General features: G+C 50.2%; 1 protein-coding gene across 29 annotated transcripts in view, besides 5 other annotated features; it reads left to right on the top strand.

Annotated features, from left to right (window-relative positions):
• The window catches only part of RAPGEF1 (Rap guanine nucleotide exchange factor 1), a 163,302-nt gene that overhangs the window by 105,422 nt on the left and 37,752 nt on the right, over nt 1-20,128 (top strand). For 12 of the 29 annotated variants that reach the window (NM_001377938.1, XM_005272186.5, XM_011518572.3 and 9 more), the window contains 7 exons: nt 4,331-4,419; nt 5,401-5,553; nt 5,983-6,106; nt 6,559-6,742; nt 8,233-8,733; nt 12,657-12,859; nt 15,446-15,604. In NM_001377938.1, the coding sequence (NP_001364867.1) occupies nt 4,331-4,419; nt 5,401-5,553; nt 5,983-6,106; nt 6,559-6,742; nt 8,233-8,733; nt 12,657-12,859; nt 15,446-15,604 (1,413 nt within the window). Of the gene's footprint in view, nt 1-4,330; nt 4,420-5,400; nt 5,554-5,982; nt 6,107-6,558; nt 6,743-8,232; nt 8,734-12,656; nt 12,860-13,200; nt 15,605-20,128 lie in introns of those variants that run through there. The other 17 variants (NM_001377937.1, NM_001304275.2, NM_005312.4 and 14 more) reach the window with 4 other exon arrangements.
• Nucleotides 5,123-5,872: an enhancer, noted in NCBI's record as "H3K4me1 hESC enhancer chr9:134504170-134504919 (GRCh37/hg19 assembly coordinates)". NCBI's record gives its function as "activates a minimal SCP1, AML or CMV promoter by ChIP-STARR-seq in primed H9 embryonic stem cells {active_cell/tissue: H9 hESC(primed)}" and the evidence as "EXISTENCE:reporter gene assay evidence [ECO:0000049][PMID:30033119]".
• Nucleotides 6,352-6,401: an enhancer, noted in NCBI's record as "active region_29197". NCBI's record gives its function as "activates an Ori minimal core promoter by ATAC-STARR-seq in GM12878 lymphoblastoid cells {active_cell/tissue: GM12878}" and the evidence as "EXISTENCE:reporter gene assay evidence [ECO:0000049][PMID:35858748]".
• Nucleotides 9,682-10,182: an enhancer, noted in NCBI's record as "H3K4me1 hESC enhancer chr9:134499860-134500360 (GRCh37/hg19 assembly coordinates)". NCBI's record gives its function as "activates a minimal SCP1, AML or CMV promoter by ChIP-STARR-seq in naive H9 embryonic stem cells {active_cell/tissue: H9 hESC(naive)}" and the evidence as "EXISTENCE:reporter gene assay evidence [ECO:0000049][PMID:30033119]".
• Nucleotides 13,134-13,203: an enhancer, noted in NCBI's record as "active region_29196". NCBI's record gives its function as "activates an Ori minimal core promoter by ATAC-STARR-seq in GM12878 lymphoblastoid cells {active_cell/tissue: GM12878}" and the evidence as "EXISTENCE:reporter gene assay evidence [ECO:0000049][PMID:35858748]".
• Nucleotides 15,097-16,063: an enhancer, noted in NCBI's record as "H3K27ac-H3K4me1 hESC enhancer chr9:134493979-134494945 (GRCh37/hg19 assembly coordinates)". NCBI's record gives its function as "activates a minimal SCP1, AML or CMV promoter by ChIP-STARR-seq in naive H9 embryonic stem cells {active_cell/tissue: H9 hESC(naive)}" and the evidence as "EXISTENCE:reporter gene assay evidence [ECO:0000049][PMID:30033119]".

Genomic DNA, 20,128 nt, shown 5'->3' with positions numbered 1-20,128 from the left:
TGCAACCTCCGCCTCCTGGGTTCAAGTGATTCTCCTGCCTCAGCCTCCCAAGTAGCTGGGATTACAGGCGCGTACAACCATGCCCAGCTAATTTTTGTATCTTTAGTAGAGACAAGGTTTCACCATGTTGGCCAGGCTGGTCTTGAACTCCTGACCTCCAGTGATCCGCCCACCTAGGCCTCCCAAAGTGCTGGGATGACAGGCGTGAACCACCGCGCCCGACCTATGATCATTTTCAGTATGAATAAAATGAACATGGAAATAAAGTATTACATATTTGGAGAGCTACTTTTCCAAATACCGTTTTTGACTTTTGAAAACTGATTTTCAGTGACCAGTCGGCAGTTTCCAGTCACTGCTGTAGACATAGACTCTAGAGTAGTCTCTTCTTCTTTTTGTTCTGAGACAGTCTCACTCTATCGCCCAGGCTGGAGTGCAACAACGGCACAATCTTGCTCACTGCAACCTCCGCCTTCTGGATTCAAGCAATCCTCCAGCCTCAGCCTCCGGAGTAGCTGGGACCACAGGTGCATGCCACCACGTCCAACTAATTTTTGTAGAGGCAGATTTTTACCATGTTGCCCAGGCTGGTTTTGAACTCCTGGGCTCAAGTGATTCACTTGCCTCGGCCTCACAAAGTGCTAGGATTACAGGCATGAGCAACCACGTCTGGCCTTTTTCAGTCTTTTCTAACTCGTGCCTCAGGACAATTAAAAAGTCTGACATCCCTCTCAAAAAATTCTACCTTCAGTAGGAGGTGTTGGGCTCATGCCAAATTATAAATGGTCAACTTTCAATGAGATTAGGGTGTTAGCACAGTAGCCAGATATGTGCACATTTTAAGGTTTCTCCTCTGTGATAGTTAAGGCAAGTCAAGACTAAAGACCTTCTGTCTAGGCAGGGAGATAGGTGGTAAATTTAAAAAGCAGCCCGCCCCTTTTATAGTCTTTTCAAGCCTAGGCCACGCGAGCTAGTGTAGGGAGCGTCATTGGGATCATGACGTCATCTTTGAATTTGGGCACATGTCTGCACATGTGTGCCTGTCATTCCAGGATTGTTTTGCCATTGTTCATTAGTTGAGTTCACAGCTGCCTCTCCAGAAAGATGACGATCTAATTATAATTGCTCATGAATCAATGAAGAACCAGGAATGTTTTCCTGTATCAACAGATGCAAACAACACAGACTTCTCTCTGTTCCTTTTGCCCTGCTTGTAAAGAAGAGTGAATCTGAAAGTGGGGCATCCAGGGCACTGTGTTCTGGCGCTCTTTAACTCCCTCTAAGGCCGTGATGCTCCTCTTTGGGGCCTGGCGTTGTGCTTTTAGGAAGAGCTGCTTCTCCCACCGTCCTCCCTCCTCCAGGCGGTAGGGTGCAAGGGAGCTGCCTCTTTTCTAACTGCTCTCTTCACTGATTGTGTAGTCTCTCCTCCTCCATCTTGTCCTGTTTGTAATCACCAGCTAGATGGCTGTCCCTTAAATATTAACTTCTAAATTGTGCTAACATGCAAGTATTAAGGTTCTCCTTTCTTGCTAGTACTTGGCTCTTAGAGATTTTGCTTCTCCACATTTCTTCAAGAATAGACATCTGAATGGGGTAACAACTGTCACAGAGTAGGGTAACACTGAACCTGCATCTGTGGATATGCCTGGCTGAGCGTGGTGGCTCACACCTGTAATCCCAGCACTTTGGGAGGCCAAAGTAGGAGGATCACTTGAGCCCAAGAGTTTGATATATGCATTTAATTTTGGAGGGCGGGGTTGCTTGTTTAATTATTATTTCAGAAGTAATATATGTTCATTTCAGAAAATTTAGAAAATAGAAAAAGAACAAGATAAAAGGGTGTTTCATAGCCATATTTTTTGTATTACATATATTCTTGATTTGGCTTTGTTTACAAAACGTGCAATATAAACCAGCATATCACCTAGAACTGTTTTTCCACTCAGTGTATTACAGCATCTTTCCACGATACAGTGCATATTCTTGTTGTGACTTTGTCTTTAATAACAACGTAATGGTCAGCCCATTGTCTGGTTCTATCATGACTTATGTAATTGATACATATTATCAAATATTTAATTGTGGGATGTTGAACTATTCAAAATTACCACATTAATGATACGTAATCTTATGTATATTCTGTGATAACCATCTTTTGTGGTTTAATTTTTGCACACATTCATGACATTTTTCTTGGACAGGATTCTTTTTTTAAGAGACAGAGTCTTGGCCGGGCGCGGTGGCTCACGCCTGTAATCCCAGCACTTTGGGAGGCCGAGGCGGGCGGATCACGAGGTCAGGAGATCGAGACCACGGTGAAACCCCGTCTCTACTAAAAATACAAAAAAAAAAAAAAAAATTAGCCGGGTGCAGTGGCAGGTGCCTGTAGTCCCAGCTACTCGGGAGGCTGAGGCAGAAGAATGGCATGAACCCAGGAGGCGGAGCTTGCAGTGAGCTGAGATCGCACCACTGCACTCCAGCCTGGGCGACAGAGCGAGACTCTGTCTCAAAAAAAAAAAAAGAGAGAGTCTCAATCTCTCACCTCTCTCACCTGGGCTGGAGTGTGATTACAGTTCAGTGCTCCTCGAACCCCTGGGCTCAAGCCGTCCTTCTGCCTCAGCCTTCCAGAGTGCTAGGATTATAGGCATGAGCCACTGCACCTGGTGCAAAATTCTCATAATGCAAATATTTAAGGCTTTTGATATATACTGATAAGTCATCCCTCTGGAGAGGCTGTCTGAAGTGGTGCTCCCACCTACCATGTCTGGAAGTTTCTATTTTATTACCATCCAAGGTGGTGAATGTCTTATGATTATTGACCATTGGTATCTGTAAATTTCTTGTTTGATATTTTTTTCGGCGTGTTCACCTTCTAGTTTTTTTGTTTTCGAAAGAACCCTTGCGCTGGAAAGGATGGTAACTGACTCTTTGCCTTATTTGCAGCATACGCTGCCTTTTTTGTGTGTGGTGCTTTTTTGAGTCTGGAGAGGCTTGGCAGCCGCTGGTTCAGGGTCTCTGGTTACTGTGTTGCCCACTGGCATCCGCTGCCACCTCCTCTGTAACTTGGAAACAGCTTTCTGCTGAAAGCCTGGAAGCCCCTCATCACACACATGCAGGCCCTGGCCAGGCCAGATGTCCAGCAACAGGAAGGTGGAGGGAGAAGCTGTGGTGCATCCACGAGTGGGAACACTGCTGGCAGCGAGCAGCAGGCGCCTCGCCCACACGAAGCACAGCTGTTGACGCTGAGCTCGGGGGACGGAGCAGGCAAAGATGTGCGGACAGGAAATGGATTGGCAGCTGCCAGGGGCTGGGGGTCGAGGGGAATGCGGAGCTTCCTTATGGGGTGATGAGAAGTCCTAAAATTGATTGTGTTGATGGTCACACAACTCTGTGAACAGACTAAAAACCACTGAATCGTACACTTTAAATGGGTGAATTTAATGGCATATGAGTTATATATCCATAAAGCTGTTTTTAAAAAGAAGGTTGACACAAAAGTGTATGTATGATATGGTTCCATTTATATCAAGTTCTAGGACAGGCAAAAGTAATCTATGATAATAGAAGTTAAACAGTTGGGGCGGGGCAGATTGGCTGGAGACGGTGATAGAAATGTTCTTTGTGTTTTTAGTGGCGCTTACTTGGGTATATGCAGTTGTCAAAACTCATCAAACTGGGAAAAAATGCATTCTAATTTAAAAAAAAAAACACATGGGCACTTATGTCTTCCCTTTTTTTTCTTTTGCTACGATTTGAAAAAGGCTATTTTTCTTTTCTGTTTTTCTCAGTTAATGGTTCTAAAGTGATTTCTTTGCTGGGTTATCTCCCCTTAACTCCCTCTCCATTGACAAGGATCCCAGCCAGCCCTCACCCCACCCCCACCAGCTAGCAGCTCCACCACACCTGTGGCCAGCTCGCCTTGGGAAACCACCCATGCCATCATCGTGCATATGATCTAATGGCTTTAGAGAACTAGGAACAGAGTTATTCCCCAACAAACTGACTGGGAACCTGTTCTGATGAGTATTTTAATTTGTGTGATAAACAATCATTTTGAGAGGCTGGGGTTTGCCATTTCCCCTTCCAAGAGGAAGTGCCTTTACGCATTTGAAACTTGACATGCCATGAAGGTATTTTTGGAGGGCAGGGGACATTTGGGAAGTCATGCAGATTACCTAAGGCAAGTGATACTTGCGTTTATGGTGCGTGGGGAATCTGTAGGCACAGAAATGAGACTCAGCAGCAGAGGACAGACAGCACCTGCCTGCCTTCTGGTGGAAACTCAGTGGTGACGGGAGCTTTGCTCATTGCCTTTTTCTTGTGGGGGTAGGAGCTGGTCAGGCTCACCATCGAGAAGCAGGGACGTCCGTCTCCGACGAGCCCCGTGAAGCCCAGTTCCCCTGCCAGCAAGCCTGATGGGTAGGTGCTGACTAACCCTCGTGTCGCGGGTGTCACGCTCAGTGGCAAAGTCTGCACTTGACAAGGATAGGGCCCGGTGGGGTGGGCAGCATGAGGGTGGGCTGCTGGAGGCCCATATTCCTTTTTCAGTGGTTAGCAGTGTGTGTATATTTCACACAGGCTTGAAGTATTGCCCTGTCTCAAGTTTACCCTTCAGCATGACTGTTTCCAAGGATCTTCTGTGAGCGCATCCAGTGACACATACCAGTGCTTTTCCTGGGCAGCTTCGTTTCATAATGACAAAGAACTTTTAAAGGCTTGGGTTTGGGTGCTTTGACTTGAGAGCACTCTTGTTTGATCAAGAGTAAACTGAGGATGACATGGATGGTTGTAAAGGTTTATATTCATCTCTACTCCAAGCTCCTGGTAAAAATATAAAACATAAATTTGGAGCTTTTTTTTTTGTTTTTGAGACAGAGTCTCTGTGGCTCAGGCTGGAGTGCAGTGGTGCGATCTGGGCTCATTGCAGCCTCCTCCTCTCAGATTAGAGCAATTCTCTTGCCTCAGCCTTTCAAGTAGTTGGGACTACAGGTGCACGCCACCATGCCCAGCTAATTTTTGTATTTTTAGTAGAGACAGGGTTTCACCATCTTGGCCAAGCTGGTCTCAAACTCCTAACCTCAAGTGATCTGCCCGCCTTGACCTCCCAAAGTGCTGGGATTATAGGTGTGAGCCACTGCGCCCGGCCTGGAGCATTTTAGAGAACCCTTAGATCATTTTCAGATGAGGAAATTGAGGTGCAAAGTTGGGGGCACAGCCAAGCTCCAGTAGCTCATTAGCAACCAAACCAGAACCCCAGGGTTCTATATCCAGGGAGCCTGCTCTTCAGCCCCACCTCACCCACTGTGTTCTTCCTGGTCACGTCCTCACCCTCTCAGGGCCTGTGTGTGCTCTGTCCCGCCTTTGACCTTCTGTAACCCCAAGTTCTTCCCAATTCTCCAGCCCAGCAGAGCTCCCCCTGACAGACCGCGAGGTAGAGATCCTAAACAAGACGACTGGGATGTCACAGTCAACTGAGCTCCTCCCAGATGCCACGGATGAAGAGGTCGCGCCCCCCAAGCCTCCTCTGCCTGGCATTCGGGTGGTTGATAATAGGTAATTACCTTCCTATTTGTCCAGTGCCTCCCATGGCAGAATGAGAAAGAAAGGGAGGAAGACAGGGCTCGGGCCCTTTCCCCTCAGCGCTGAGGGCTTGGCCCCCCTTGGGAGGCTGACTCTGGAGCTGTCCCCACCCCGCCGGCCCTCGCTGGCCACCCTGAGCTCTCCTGAAGGCCTCCTTGTGCCCTCAGCCCAGGGAGACATGGTATGATTTATTATGAAAGAAAAAGAAAGGGTTGTTCTTTTTTGTTCATTTGGTATTTACAGGTTTTATTTTGGCGGAGGGGAGTAGGCAGGAGTTGAAGTGTGAACATTGGGTGTGGAGAGTCTAGTAATGAAAGAACCCCACATCCTGTACCCCAATATCACGCTGAAGAGCTTTGGTGAGTGTGGTTTGGTCTGCCTGGACGTTTCGGTCTGTTTCAGTCCTCCACCAGCATTGCCACCCAAGAAAAGACAGTCGGCGCCGTCCCCTACCCGAGTGGCTGTGGTGGCCCCCATGAGCCGAGCCACCAGTGGCTCCAGTTTGCCTGTTGGAATCAATAGGCAGGTAATGCAGCCCCTGTTCCCTGCATGGGAAGGCAGGGAGGGGGTGGGGGGCTCAGGGATGTGGCTCCTGAAGCTGAAAGAAACCCATGGTCTTCAGGCGCTGGTGTTTGTCACATCGAGGAGTGCGAGACCTTGTACCCATCCCTCTCTCTCCAGGACACGGTCCAAGTTCCCATATGGGGATAAGGGTCAGGGCAGGGAGGGCAGAGCCAAAGGGCGTCTCCTGGGGATAGGTGAGTCCAGCCCCAGGGCCCTCCCTGGCCACACCCCCCACAAACTCCAGATGGCTGCTTCTCAGCTGTATGTGTCCTTCGACTACTGACGTCAGAGGTGGTTTCTGAGTTCGCCTGGCAGTATTTCCTTCTCTAAGTAAATGCACCGGTTGCCTCACCCCTGGTCTGTGCCACCGTTTCTCAGAAGTGATTTGGCTTTGTTTTTCTTTTTCCACTTGAGGATTTTGATGTTGACTGTTACGCACAGAGGCGACTGTCAGGAGGCAGCCACTCATATGGTGGAGAGTCGCCCCGCCTCTCCCCCTGCAGCAGCATAGGCAAGCTCAGCAAGTCAGACGAGCAGCTGTCCTCTCTGGACAGGGACAGTGGGCAGTGCTCCCGGAACACAAGCTGTGAAACACTAGGTGAGCCGCCACCATCCTCCTGTTCCATCGTGTCTCGGTGGCTTCTCTGGGGCCATTACAGTCCTGGGTGGGAGTCCCAGGTCATGCAATCATTGACTACGTGGCTTTGGCTGACTTGTTTAAAATCTGAGCCTCAGCTTCCTCATCTGCAAAATATGGATAACAGTATCTGCCTCCCAAGGAAGTTGAGCATGTAAATGAAATCACAATGTAAAACCACAGCCTAGATATTCAAGCGGTGACTGTTAGTTCATCTGTCAGTGAGTAATTTGACTCTCTTTACCAAAATTAAGAGCCATTTGTGTTGAGAGCTTTAAACAAAGGGGTGGGGGTCCTGACAACACTTGACAGAGGCTGAAGGGGAGGGAGCCGCGCGAGCCGGCCTTCTCGTTAGTCAGTGCTGAATGTGTACTGTGCGGGCCCCTCCGAGTCTGCTGGGCAGGGGGCTTAGAGAGCAGGAAGCTGTTCGTATCCTGTGAACTAGATATTTTCACTTCTGAGAATGTATCCTAGGAGCATAATCAGTGATTAATAGCAAGATTTTCATTGGTAGGAAATCAGATGAATTATGGTACATTCATTTGCTGGAATAATCTGTAGCTATTAAAAATCACTCATATTGATAACTAGAAAAAGTACAGGACCATTTACATAGTATTCTCAATTGTTTCTTTTTTTTTTTTTTTTTTTTTTTTTTTTGAGACAGAGCCTCACTCTGTCACCCAGGCTGGAGTGTAGTGACATGATCTGGGCTCACTGCAACCTCCGCCTCCCGGGTTCAAGTGATTCTCCTGCCTCAGCCTCCCAAGCAGCTGGGATTACAGGTGTGTGCCACCACGCCCGGCTAATTTTTTTGTCTTTTTAGTAGAGACGGGATTTCACCATGTTGACCAGGCTGGTCTTGAACTCTAGGTGATCTGCCCACCTCAGCCTCCCAAAGTGGGCCAGCGTGCCCAGCCAATTTTTGTATTTTTAGTAGAGACGGGGTTTTGCCACATTGGCCAGGCTGGTATTGAACTCCTGGCCTCAACTGATCGGCCCGCCTCGGCCTCACAGAGTGCTGGGATTACAGGCGTGAGCCACCGCGTGGCCCTCAGTTAGGCTTTTTCAAAAAGGAATTGTATAGGCAAAAAAGTCATTTAAGGAAATACTTCAAAATGTAAATAGAAAGTACAGTTAGATTATGGTACTGTGGGTGATTTTTATTTTCTTGATGTAATTTGCCACAGTTTCCGTAATGGTTGTGTATTTTTTTTTTAAATAAGAAATGTAAAAAATAAAAGTATAGCAAACAGCCATATTCCCATCTGGTTTGCTTTTATAATCAGGGAGAAGAATGAAGAATATAACATGTGAATATAAAATAAGCCCTGGAGACAGGTCTTTGTCACACACCCATGAGCGAGCCGGCGAGAGGCGGGCGGGGGGAGCTGGCTGCTCCTGCAGGGCCTGTGGCTAACGGGTCTCTTTTTCCCCTGTTGTAACTGCAGACCACTATGATCCCGACTATGAATTCCTCCAGCAAGACCTCTCTAACGCAGACCAGATACCTCAGCAGACGGCCTGGAACCTTAGCCCGTTGCCAGAGTCTTTGGGGGAGTCTGGGTCTCCATTTCTTGGCCCTCCTTTCCAGCTGCCTCTTGGCGGCCATCCCCAGCCAGACGGACCTCTGGCCCCAGGGCAGCAGACAGATACGCCACCTGCTCTCCCCGAGAAGAAGCGCAGGAGCGCAGCCTCCCAGACGGCGGACGGCTCTGGCTGCAGGGTGTCCTACGAGCGGCATCCCTCGCAGTATGACAACATCTCTGGGGAGGACCTGCAGAGCACAGCCCCGATCCCATCCGTCCCCTACGCGCCCTTTGCTGCTATTCTGCCCTTTCAGCATGGAGGTTCCTCAGCCCCTGTCGAATTTGTGGGTGATTTTACTGCTCCTGAGTCAACCGGTGACCCAGAAAAACCACCTCCTCTACCAGAGAAGAAAAACAAACACAGTAAGCCTTTGTTGCACTGTTGTCAGGAAGTGCATTTTATAACCTGAAATGGCAGTATGTTTTATTTCAGCATTAGACCAGAATCAAATCAGTGGCCTCATTATTTCATAAAAGATAGGCCAGCCAGGTATGTGGACACTTCTGGGAGCCAGGTTTTGTCATTACACGTGATCATTTTTAAAGCCTCATCAGCTGACCTCTCCTTTACAGTTTCTATACAATCTCAGGTCCGGTCTCCATGTAGCCTGAGGGATTCTCCTCTTTAGATGGCAGCAGTTGACCTTCTGGCCTGATCACAGTGACAGAGGGGAACGAGTGTCCTGGCACGCAGGACAGCATTGCAGCAACATCTGTGTAGAGCGAGGTGGATACGTGAATTTCAGCAGAACTTGCCTAGTTTCCACAGAGTGATTGTCTAAGGATCCCTGTCTAGAGCACACTGTCTCTGTTCATGCTCCCAGAATGACTTGGAAGCTGGGGTTGCCCAGCAGGAGTAATTCAGCACACTTCTTGGACCAGACATTTTAATATATGATGTTATTGGAGCCCAGGGTTGGAGCTGAAGTTTTGAATATTTTCCAACGGTAAATCTGTCATAAAAGTAATAAGGAGAGTTCTCCTGGAAATTCGGTTTTCTCCTAGCTCCCCTAACTGCTCCACACTTCTGGGACTTGCCTGGCCCCCTCTGTCCCCGCCCTCTCCCTGCTTCACTAGCATAGTTCTGCTTCGATTTTCTTGGCAGCACAGCTGTCACCGTTTCAATGTGTGTGGTCACATTAGCCACACAGCCCCAGGCTTCCCTGGCCTCAGTTGACACATCCAGCAGAGAACTTCTATGACCTAGAAATGGAATCTCTACTCCAAATTCCCAAATGAGAGCTTCTGAGCCCAGCTTAGAGCTGGGCCCCATTCTCAAAGAAGGGAAGACCTGGCTTGGTTCAGTCCAGCAAGGGTCGCCCTGAGGGCTGGCTGCGTGGTCCACAGAAGGCGGCGGCTGCGATGATGTCATGTATCCCCAGCTCCTCAGTGGGTGTTGCCCAGCTTGTGTGATGGCCTCAGCAGTGTGGTCCCCCAGCTAGAGGGAGAGCTGGCTCTGTGGGACTAATGATGTCATCCCCATCTGTCGTGTATATTTGCTCATCAGAAACCAGGGCTCCCGCAGAGGGGTGTGCAATGGCACTGCCAGAAGCATTTCCTTCTCTTCCCCTCCCTCTGCATGGACAAGTGTTTAAAGAGCTGTTGGCCTCCCCCTCCACCCCTGTTATCTTGGGCTGCGTGCCATTCAGGTTCACCCCCTTTCCTTCCCTAGGGGAGGGGTCCTCTGAGCTCAGACACTGGGCAGGATGGCATCCTTGCAAGCTGCAGCAGATGCCAGAGAGCCTTACCCTTCCAGCTCCTAGAACAAGTGTGGGTGGCGGTCCTCATGCAGGGTCTATAGAGGGGAGAAGGAAAGGGAGGGGTAGCCATTGTTTCCTTTCAAACAGTCTCAAGTGGCTGAAAATCCCTATTAATTTAGGCCACCATTTTGAGGCTTTAACCAATTCATCACTGTCTCCAGCACTGGAGCCTGCAAACCTCTAAAAAACTCCTGAGCTACAGCCATGGTGTGCCCTGAGCTAAAGCTTCACATGCCCTATGGAAGGTAGTCCTGACAGCCACCTGCAAGGCAGGCTCTATTACCTCCAATTTCATAGGTAGAGAAACTGGAGCTCAGAAGAACTGAGTATTGCCCAAGATCAACAAGCAAGTGGGGCACAGATCTGGGACTGAGAGCCTGGCCTGAGTTGTACAAGCCTGTTACACTTCCTCCCAAGCCGAGGAGGAAGAGATTCAGCCCTCCTTCCTTGAGATCCCATCCAGTTTACAGTATTGACCCCTGTGCAGGGGTTGGTCTTCTCCGTACCCTGTGAAAGAGCCCCAAACTTAGGCACCCTGAGCCTCATCCTTGTCCCCAGTCTGCTGTTCACTCCCCGAGGGGACCCTCAGGTGACCTTGTGGAAAATGCCTCAAAATTGCTTTGAGGGAAAGAAGGAAAGAATCATCACCCTGGCCGCGTGGCTAACGCTGGCCTGAGTTCATGCACGCTCAGTCCCAATGTCACGACGTGTCCTCATCATTTGGGATGCACTGACATCGTGAGGGTCCCCAGCCCCTCTTGCCCGGAGCAGCCCCATGAGTCCCTTGTGCCAGACGAGCCTTGTGATCACTGTCCGGCACCTGAAATCCCCACAGTCCCAGGCCCTGAGCACTGGCGGCTGAACCTTCCCAGCAATGCTGGCTGTGTTAGGAGCAAGGCCTCTAAAATCAGCCTCTGGGCTGCTTTTGAAATGGACTGGGTCCTCCTCATTTCTAGAAGGCTGGGAGCATCACTGCTGTTCTGTGCTTGGCTAGCAGGTGTCTACAAGGACTTCAACATCAAGAGTTCAGAAAGACCTCCTGAAGAGATCACAGTTTTACAGAAAAGTCAGGCAGAGATGGTTGTGTTTAATCTTTTTCTTTTTTCCATAGCTCACTGCAACCTTGAACTCCTGGGTTCAAGGGATCCCCCCACCTCAGCCTCTTGAATAGCTGGGACCATAGGCACATACCACCATTGCTAATTTTTTTCTTTTCTTTTTTCTTTTTAGAGACGGGGGTCTCACTATGTTGCCCAGGCTGGTGTTGAACTAGCCTCAAGTGACCCTCCTCCCTCAGCCTCCCAAAGCACTGGGATTGTAGGCATGAGCCAGTGCGCCCGGTCATATTTAGTCTTTTTAGGGAGCAGTTTGTGGGTGCTTGGGATCACCTTCCTAGGCTTGCCTCTTCGTCTGGAGCCTGGTGACATTGGTTGTGCAGCATTAAAGAGGAAGTGTGGGGCTGGGCTTGGTGGCTCACACCTGTAATCCCAGCACTTTGGGAGGACGAGCCAGGTGGATTACCTGAGTTCAGGAGTTCAAGACCAGCCAGACCAACATGGCAAAACCCCATCTCTACTAAAAATACAAAAATTAGCTGGACACGGTGGTGCATGCCTATAATCCCAGCTACTCAGTAGACTGAGGCAGGAGGATCGCTTGAACCCATGAGGTGGAGGTTGCAGTGAGCCGAGATTGCACCACTACACTCCAGCCTGGGCAACAAGAGCGAAACTCTGTCTCAAAAAAAAAAAAAGGAAGTGTGAGACAAGCTCAAGGGGCTGTGAGCTGCCCTTTCAGTAGCAGCAGCTGACCTCAGAGGGGAACCATTTCTTCCTGTGCATCTTTTACAACCAAGTTCTGCTCGGTGCTTGTTGGAGCTAGTAAGAAATTCTTACATATTCTTTTAAATAAAGAAGGTGACTTTGAACACTTTCCTTCAGTGACACTCCTGGAGAGAGAGCATTTCCTCTATACCTGGACCCCCAGTGTGGCTCAGGGAAGAAATAAACTCCCTACCTCTGTGACTGTCTTCCTCAGCTCAGTGTCTGGCCTTCCTTGATTTGTTGACTAGTTGGGGTTTGCAGAGAAGCCTCTGGCTTTGTGCTTATTTGAAGATACAAAATTTAGCACTGCAGAGCCACCACTTTTTCTTGGCATCTGAATCTCAGCTCCACCTGGCAGCTGCTCGTGGCACTTGCGACATGCCTCGAGGGGAAAGTGCCTGCTCAGGAGGTAGCTGAGACTTGCCATCCCTGCACCCGCCATGTGCCCTCGCTTGAGTCCCCAGTTCACATTAGGGTTCCCCATTGGTGTTGCGCGTCTGCCGGTCTGGACGTGTCTCCTCCGTTAGCGCATCAGACAGAGTGTGATTTCATTGCCCGAAAAGTCCTCCGTGCTCCGTCTGTTCGTCCCTCTCTGAGGTGCTTTCAGTGGAAAGCCCCCTAGCTGCTGTGGGAAGAATGGGGGGAGGGGTTCCCTGATGTGGCCTCCCCCGGCCTCGCTGCAGCTTTCTCCCTTGTTTCACAGTGCTGGCCTACATGCAGTTGCTGGAGGACTACTCGGAGCCGCAGCCCTCTATGTTCTACCAGACGCCACAGAACGAGCACATCTACCAGCAGAAGAACAAGCTCCTCATGGAGGTATACGGCTTCAGCGACTCCTTCAGTGGGGTGGACTCCGTGCAGGAGCTGGCCCCGCCGCCCGCCCTACCCCCCAAGCAGCGGCAGCTGGTGAGTGACACCTTCCCTTGTGACTAGAACTTCCGATCCTAGCAGGTCTCTAGGAACCAGAATGACCCTCCTTGGGGGCAGGGTTAACCCTCCTCCCTGCTGTGGCAGGGCCCTGGTTTTGGGCGTGGAAGGCACCATCTCCCACACAGATGCTTTTACTTCCTCCTTAGATGCTCACCAGCAGCCCAGCGCCCACTCCACCACCTCCCCACCCTGGGGTGCAGGGACCTTTCTTTTCCACAGCAGCCCCGCGCAGCAGGGACAGGCTTGTACTCAGGGTGTTTGCTCTCTCTGCTGACAGTCTCTTGTATTTTTTTCTTTCTTCTTTGGCTTCAACATAGACCTCCCAGAAAGGAGGGACTCAATCAAAGCACAGGACATGGTCTGTGCACAGCCATCTGTGGACTTGATTGGCATAATGGGCCTAACTGTGTAGAGTGACTTACAACCCAGCCTTGGCCGGGGAGGGCCCAAGGAAAACAAGTGCCATTGAAGTGGAGGATGGCTTTAAACAGAGCCACTCTGTTTCAGACATGGCACCTTCCTCTTCTAGAAAACACTCGTGTGCTAAGGACTCCTGTGCATGTAAGGAAGCACGGGCCAGCACAGAAGGCAAGCTGTTCCACCGTGGGCACCCCATGAGGCTCTGGAACTGCCCAGGCACTGGGAGGGTGAGCAGATCGGGGGTACCTGTGGCATCCCTCCAAACTTTCTCCCTTTGCTGCCAGTTAATGAACATGGAGGGCCCTAGTCAGGTTTGAAGATCTGAGCCTCTTGTCCAGCCATGCTCCCCAGGAAGAGGAAGCTCCCCAGCAGGGAGCTCCAGGCTTGTTCAGAGCTGCCTGGGCTGCTGCTCTCGTGTGCTGGCCAGTCTGGTGGCTTCTACCAGGAGGCGACTGGTGTGCACTGGGCCATCTTTTATCCATTGCGAGAGGACATGAGGGGCCATCTGATTCTTCTGGGAGGCAGCTGCAGACTGGAGGACAAATGTCCCTGGATTACTCCGTATAATCAATCACCTGGGGCTCAGCCCAGTCCCAGGAGTTCCTGAGCCTTCCTATACTCAGTGGGCTGTGGCTAACCAAGCAAGCTGTTTTGTTTCCACTCAAAAACCACACTCAGCCACTTCAGAGGTGGCCATGTCCAGTAGAGGAAAGGCCAAGCTTGGAGTTGGGAGTCCTGAATTCCAGTCCTGCCACTTGTTAGCCGTGTCGCACGTGCCATTTTCAGAGTCTCAGATCCTCACCTGCCCTGCCCGTCCCACAGACACAATTGAGAATGTGAATCTCAATTGCTCTGAAGATGTTTCAAAAAGGGTCCCACCATGGAAACATAAATGCCTCATTTAGAGACCCCTTGCCTAAAATGTTTGGTTAGAACTGTTGCCGAGAGCCAGGAGTGGTGGTGGCACATGCCTATATTCCCAGCTACTTGGGAGGCTGAGGTGGAGGATCACTTGATCCCAGGAGTTCAAGACCAGCCTGGACAACATAGTGAGACCCTGTCTAAAAAAAAAAAAAAGCCATTGCTGAGCCAGATTTATTGAAAATATTTTCGGCCCATTTGCCATCCTTGGGCATCTTCTCCATACTGTGGAGTCCACAGGCTTCTGAATATTTGGGGAGACACCCCTAGGGAGCACGTGGAATCAGAACCTGTTCTACCACGCCTGCAGGGCAGTGGCGAGCTCAGCCCCCGGAGGCCTGTTAGGAACATCTGTGTTGAACACCTCCCCAGGTAAGCACCAGGGCTCTCATCTGGCTCTACATGGTCCCTGCCACAGCTCCTGGCATCCCCATTATAAGTAAATTGAGGCAGACAGAGCCAGCGAACCTTAATCCAAGCCCACAGCTAGAAACAGAAGACCTGGGAGCCACACCCAATCCTAATGACAGCCCAGGCATACCACCTGACAGGTCCTGCCAGCTGCTGGTCACACCCTCTCTCAAATGCAGATGCAGGAAGCGTTATCCACACTTCACAGACAAAAATGGTGCTCATTACACACACCTGTTGGCCCATGTACAGTGTGGTAAGCAATATTTCAAGTGCTTCACACGTATCATCCCATTTCATCCTCCCAACAGCCCTGTACAGGAGACACTAGGGTTATCCCCATTTTACAGATGGAAAACCTGAGGCACGGAGACCTTTAAGTAGTGCCCAAGGCCAAACGGGTGAGAAATGGCAGGGTCCAGACTCAAACCCAGGCTGCCGGAGCCCCGTCTGAGTTCTGAAGACGTGTGAATGACACATGGATCCACTCCCCACAGAGGAGCAGCTCCAAGCCCAGAGTCAGCCCAGTTCTGTGTGGCTCCAGCCCCCTCGTCCTCCTTCCACCCAACCTGCTTCCAGTGGACACAATTTTTAGGATCTAGTGTAAGGAAATGAAGGAGGGTGCCCTTTCATGCAGATGGCCTTCGGCAGCTGGTTTTAGTCCCTGAACTGGGCCCAGAAGCCATCCCTCTCCAGAACGTCTGTTAGAGGATGTGGAGAGCAACCTCCACGGCCTTTCCCTGCACGGACCTGACTGTTCTCTGCTTCTCTCCCTCCTTCCCTGCCTTCTCTCTCCTCCCCTCTGTCCAGCAGGCCTCCTGTGCTGCTTCTTCCTTCTCCTCTGTCTCCCACTGTGTCCAGCAAACTAAAGTGGCCTTCACCCCCGAGGACGGCAGTGCCGCTCAGGGCCTCAGTGTGTCCGTCTCTAACTCCTTTCTCAGCCGGCACGGCAGCTTGCCCGTGCCCTCGGTGAGTTGCTCCCTGCTGTTCTTTACTTGGAAACGCGTGAACAGGGCCGTTCCTTGGAAGCGTGTGCCTCAGCCATGTGTTCTGCTGCCCGTCGCGGCCCCTGCCCTTCTGCGGGTCCCTACACCTAGATGGGAAGGCTATGAATGGTTGGTTCTCTGGGGCCTTAAAGACCATGAGGCATCCAGGTGAGGCAGGGGCAGGCATGGGAAATGTGAGTGGCCACCTTGGGAGCATCACCAGTCTGGCATAAACTGACAGAGACATTTTAGCCTTTTTATCCCAATCTCGCTTTGGACCTTGGATCAGCCCTCTGTGTTCCAGGATTAAAAAGGAATATAGCCAGGTGTGGTGTCACTCACCTGTAGTCCCCACTCCTCAGGAGGCTGAGACAGGAGGATCACCTGAACTCCAGAGTTCAAGTCCAGCCTGGGCAACATAGTGAAACCCTGTCTCAAAATAAATAGATAAGATAGATGAGATGGATGAGTAGATGGGTGGTACTATTCCTCACGTAGAAAGCCAGGTCGAGGAGAGCAGGCTTCACTAGCGCAGGATGGTTTGACTCTCAGGGATGTATTAGTTTGCTTTTGCTGCATAACAAACCACCCAAAACTTGGTGGCTTAAAATAATAGTGAGCATTTGTCACTGCTTAGGACAGGGGGTAGCAGGATGGGTGTGCTGCTCTGGCCCAGGCTTGGCCAATTTTGGCTGAACTCACTGACATCCCTGGGACCTGAGCTGAGACAATGGGGCTGATTTGGCTGTGACCCATGTAGTCTGTCACTTCCATCAGGCTGGCCTGGGCTTGTTCACATGACAGCTGGCGGGCTTCCAAAAATAACAAATGGAAGCGTGCAAGGCCCCTTAGGGCCTCAGCTCAGAAGTAGTGTGATGCCTGTTCCATTGCATTTGCTCAGTTAAATTACAAGGCCAGCCCAGATTCAGGGAGCAGGGAAGTTGCTTCTGCCTCTTGATGGTAGTTGCTACTAAGTCATGTTGCACGGGGCATGGGTCCAGGAAGGGAATGGGCTGCAGCCATTTGGGTAAACAGTTTACTGCTGAAGCCTAGGGGCTGACACTGAAGAGGGGAGTCTTTCACTGGCATCTGCGCATGTCCAGGAACCAAAATGGCCACCATTCTCCCTTTCGTCTGTTAAAATGAAACTTAGCACAGGGGAAAGAACTCTAGAACAATTTCGAGTCCCACTTGAAAGAAGTTTGGCCTTGGGCAGTGCAATTCTCCCCCCATGGCCCCCCGCCAAAGATGCTTCAGCGTCTTTCCTTTGGGACTGGATTTTACTTGCCTCATATTTTGTAAGTGTGAAAATTAAGTAAAATTATATGAAATGTCTAGGTATGTAGTAAGCTTAGAAAGCTTATTACTGTTCTTGCTCTCATTGTCTTAGTAATAAGAGTTCTGGATTCTAGTCTTGTTCTGTTTCTAACTTTACACATGAGAGTTAACCTGTTTGGCCTTTTTTCCCCCTCTGTAAATGATGAGTTTGGACCGAGTGACTTTTAAAGACTTATCCAAACTCAAGTTCCCAGTTTGGTCTTGTCTGGTTTCCATCTGTGCCCAGGGTGGGCAGTCCAATGCCCAGTGCCTTCGACCAAGATGGTCCTGCCTGTCTGAGGACCTTGGAGTGCATTCTCCCAATGGGTACTGAGGCCTCACGCCTTAGAGCCCCCAGCATCCCTACTCATGCTGGGAAGATGCGCTCCCCTCACCCTGCTGTGGCCACACAGAAGCCCCTGGTTTCCTCAGAGGCACCTCTGGCAAGCTCCTTTCACAAATCTTGCGAAACTTGGCCTTTAGACAATCCGAGCTCTTGACTGAGCTAGATTTTTGTTTTTGTTTTCTTTCCCCTTAGAGTTTCCACAATATCCCTTTTGAGCAGTTAGGGTTAGAGGACTATGAATGAACTGGACTGTTCGCTACAAAATTAAATTCGAGGACGTTTTAATTAAGTTTGGTTATGAGTACGTCATAGTTTTTATCCCTGGGACATACAAGAGCCTTAAGACATCTTGTGTCTAAAACACTGCATTCTTAGCAAAAAGCCCACCAAGGAGCCTGAGGGAAGGACCTTATAAGGTCCTTATGTCATTAAAAGGAGAATACCTCAGGAACCATTAGTAATGGCCAGGTTTGGGACATTCAGCACCCAGTATGCCGGAACCTCAGAGAAGGGATTCAGTACGGTGCCAACATGTCCTTCATATATCCTTTGGTTAAATTCTGAGATGAGCCCCAGACATAGAGCTTTGGATTACTATCAGAGCGGCCCTTTATTCCTGACTTTCTTCATTCATTGCTCCTGGGCCTGTATGGTTTGTCCAGCATGGAACTCTGAAGGAGTGCCCCTTGGAAACACAGCAGTTGACAAATCTGAAGACACCTCACGTGGTTCTTGGCACAGTGGACGATTATTTCCACTAAAAGATTCTAACCATTGAAAACCTCTTGCCAAGGGAATTTGTAGGGCACTAAACCTGTGTGGAACAATTTAAATGGAGGTGGATACTGAGAAGTATTCTCATTCACTCCTTCCCTGATACCAGGGATGGGTTTAATTCAGCAAGCTCAGGACATCAACTTTTCCAGGCCGGGTTGCAAAAGACATGCAGTTGAGGAGGATGGCCCCGAGCAAAGCAGGGCCACGGGTCAGCAGGCTGAGGAAGACGGGCATGAAGCCTGCGCAGAACCAAAGAACATCTGCACACATATTAATTAATTTTGGGTCTGAGTGCGTCATGGCTTTTGGTTTTTTGTTTTTGTTTTTGAGATGGAGTCTTGCTCTGTTGCCCAGACTGGAGTTCAGTGGCACGATCTCGGCTCACTGCAACCTCCGCCTCCCAGGTTCAAGCGTTCTCCTGCCTCAGCCTCCGGAGTAGCTGGGATTACAGCCGCCCTCCACAACGCCCAGCTAATTTTTTGTATTTTTAGTAGAGATGGGGTTTCACCACGTTGGCCAGGCTGGTCTCAAACTCCTGACCTCAGGTGATCTGCCCACCTCGGCCTCCCAAAGTGCTGGGATTACAGGCGTGAGCCACTGCGCCTGGCCACGTCATGGTTTTTATCCCTGGAATATATGGGAGTCTTAAGATACCTTGTATGTAACATACAAGTTCACACCACATGAAAGCACGTGTGAGGAATGACATGAGAGTTGTAGGCATAGAAACCTTGTGGGTGGCGGAGCAAGGACAGGGTCGTGGGGGCTGGAGGTGGAGCTTGAACTGTGACTTGAAGGGCAGTCGGGATTTTTAGGAGCTAAAGGACAGGGAAAGCAAGTCAAGATGTTCCAAACAGAAGGACCTGCCAGAGGCATGGAGGCCAGGAAGCCCAGCATCCATTCGGGAAGGTCATCTCAAATGTAAACACTTAGAATAAGGTAATGAGGGGAATGATGACAGCCAGCCCTCCCGTCTCCCCAGAACCTCCACTCCAGGAAAAGCCAGTCCTCCCCATCCGCAGGCTCTGCCGGGCCTGGACTCGACTGTTTGCTGGGCTTCTCTCTCACCAGCACCTCCCACGAGTTGGTCCCAGGGAGTCCCTCCAACCGTCCCCTGCACAGGCTTCAGACCGAGAGATGCAGAATCTCTCAGTAACCATTAGGGCTGCCTGTGCCCTGCCGGTGCTGCAGGGTTGGCATTGGAAAAAACACCTTCCTCCGGCTGGGTGCAGTGGCTCACGCCTGCAATCCCAGCACTTTGGGAGGCCAAGGTGGGCGGATCACGAGGTCAGGAAATCAAGACCATCCCGGCTAAGACGGTGAAACCCCGGCTCTACTGAAAATACAAAAAAAATTAGCCAGGCATGGTGGCGGGCGCCTGTAGTCCCAGCTACTTGGGAGGCTGAGGAAGGAGAATGGCGTGAACCCAGGAGGCGGAGCTTGCGGTGAGTGGAGATCGCGCCACTGCGCTCCAGCCTGGGCAACAGAGCAAGACTCCGTCTCAAAAAAGAAAAAACACCTTCCTCCATACTGCACACTACTTTCTTGTACGTTCTTTCTTTGCTAACTGAAAGTTATGGGTATTTACTCTCACTAAGAGGTCTATTTGGGTGCTAGAAATCTGTTGAAATATTTCTTTACCATCTTGGCTTCCAGAATGAATCTGGATAATTAAAACTGCTAGCAGACCCAAGTTGTGAGTAGAAGTTATATTGAAATGCCTGTAATAACTGTCATCTGTTTAAAAAAAAAAAAAAAACTTCAGGCTAAGAGAGTTAAGTGTGTATCATCTTGAGGACTTTAATTTTTTTAAAAGGGTCTGCAGAGCAGCTGGCATCCCATTCTGGGCAAAACAGTCGTTTTCTGAGATGGGCCCAGGTTTCTGTGCATCAGCACATGTGCTCTCAACAGAAGGCTTGAGCTTCATGCAGACGCTCAGTCCCCATGCCATGGCGTCCCCTCGCTGGGAAATGCCAGGCCCAGCCCCTCGGGACCTGTTGCAGGCTCCTTCACTCTGCCCATTCATCTGCCTCTCACTCACTCACTCTTTCTCTCCTTCCCTACCCA

Source organism: Homo sapiens, chromosome 9 (assembly GCF_000001405.40).
Source record: "Homo sapiens chromosome 9, GRCh38.p14 Primary Assembly".
Lineage (NCBI taxonomy): Eukaryota > Metazoa > Chordata > Mammalia > Primates > Hominidae > Homo > Homo sapiens.
The sequence above is the reverse complement of the archived record's forward strand: the minus strand, read 5'-3'. Positions and strand labels throughout refer to the sequence as shown.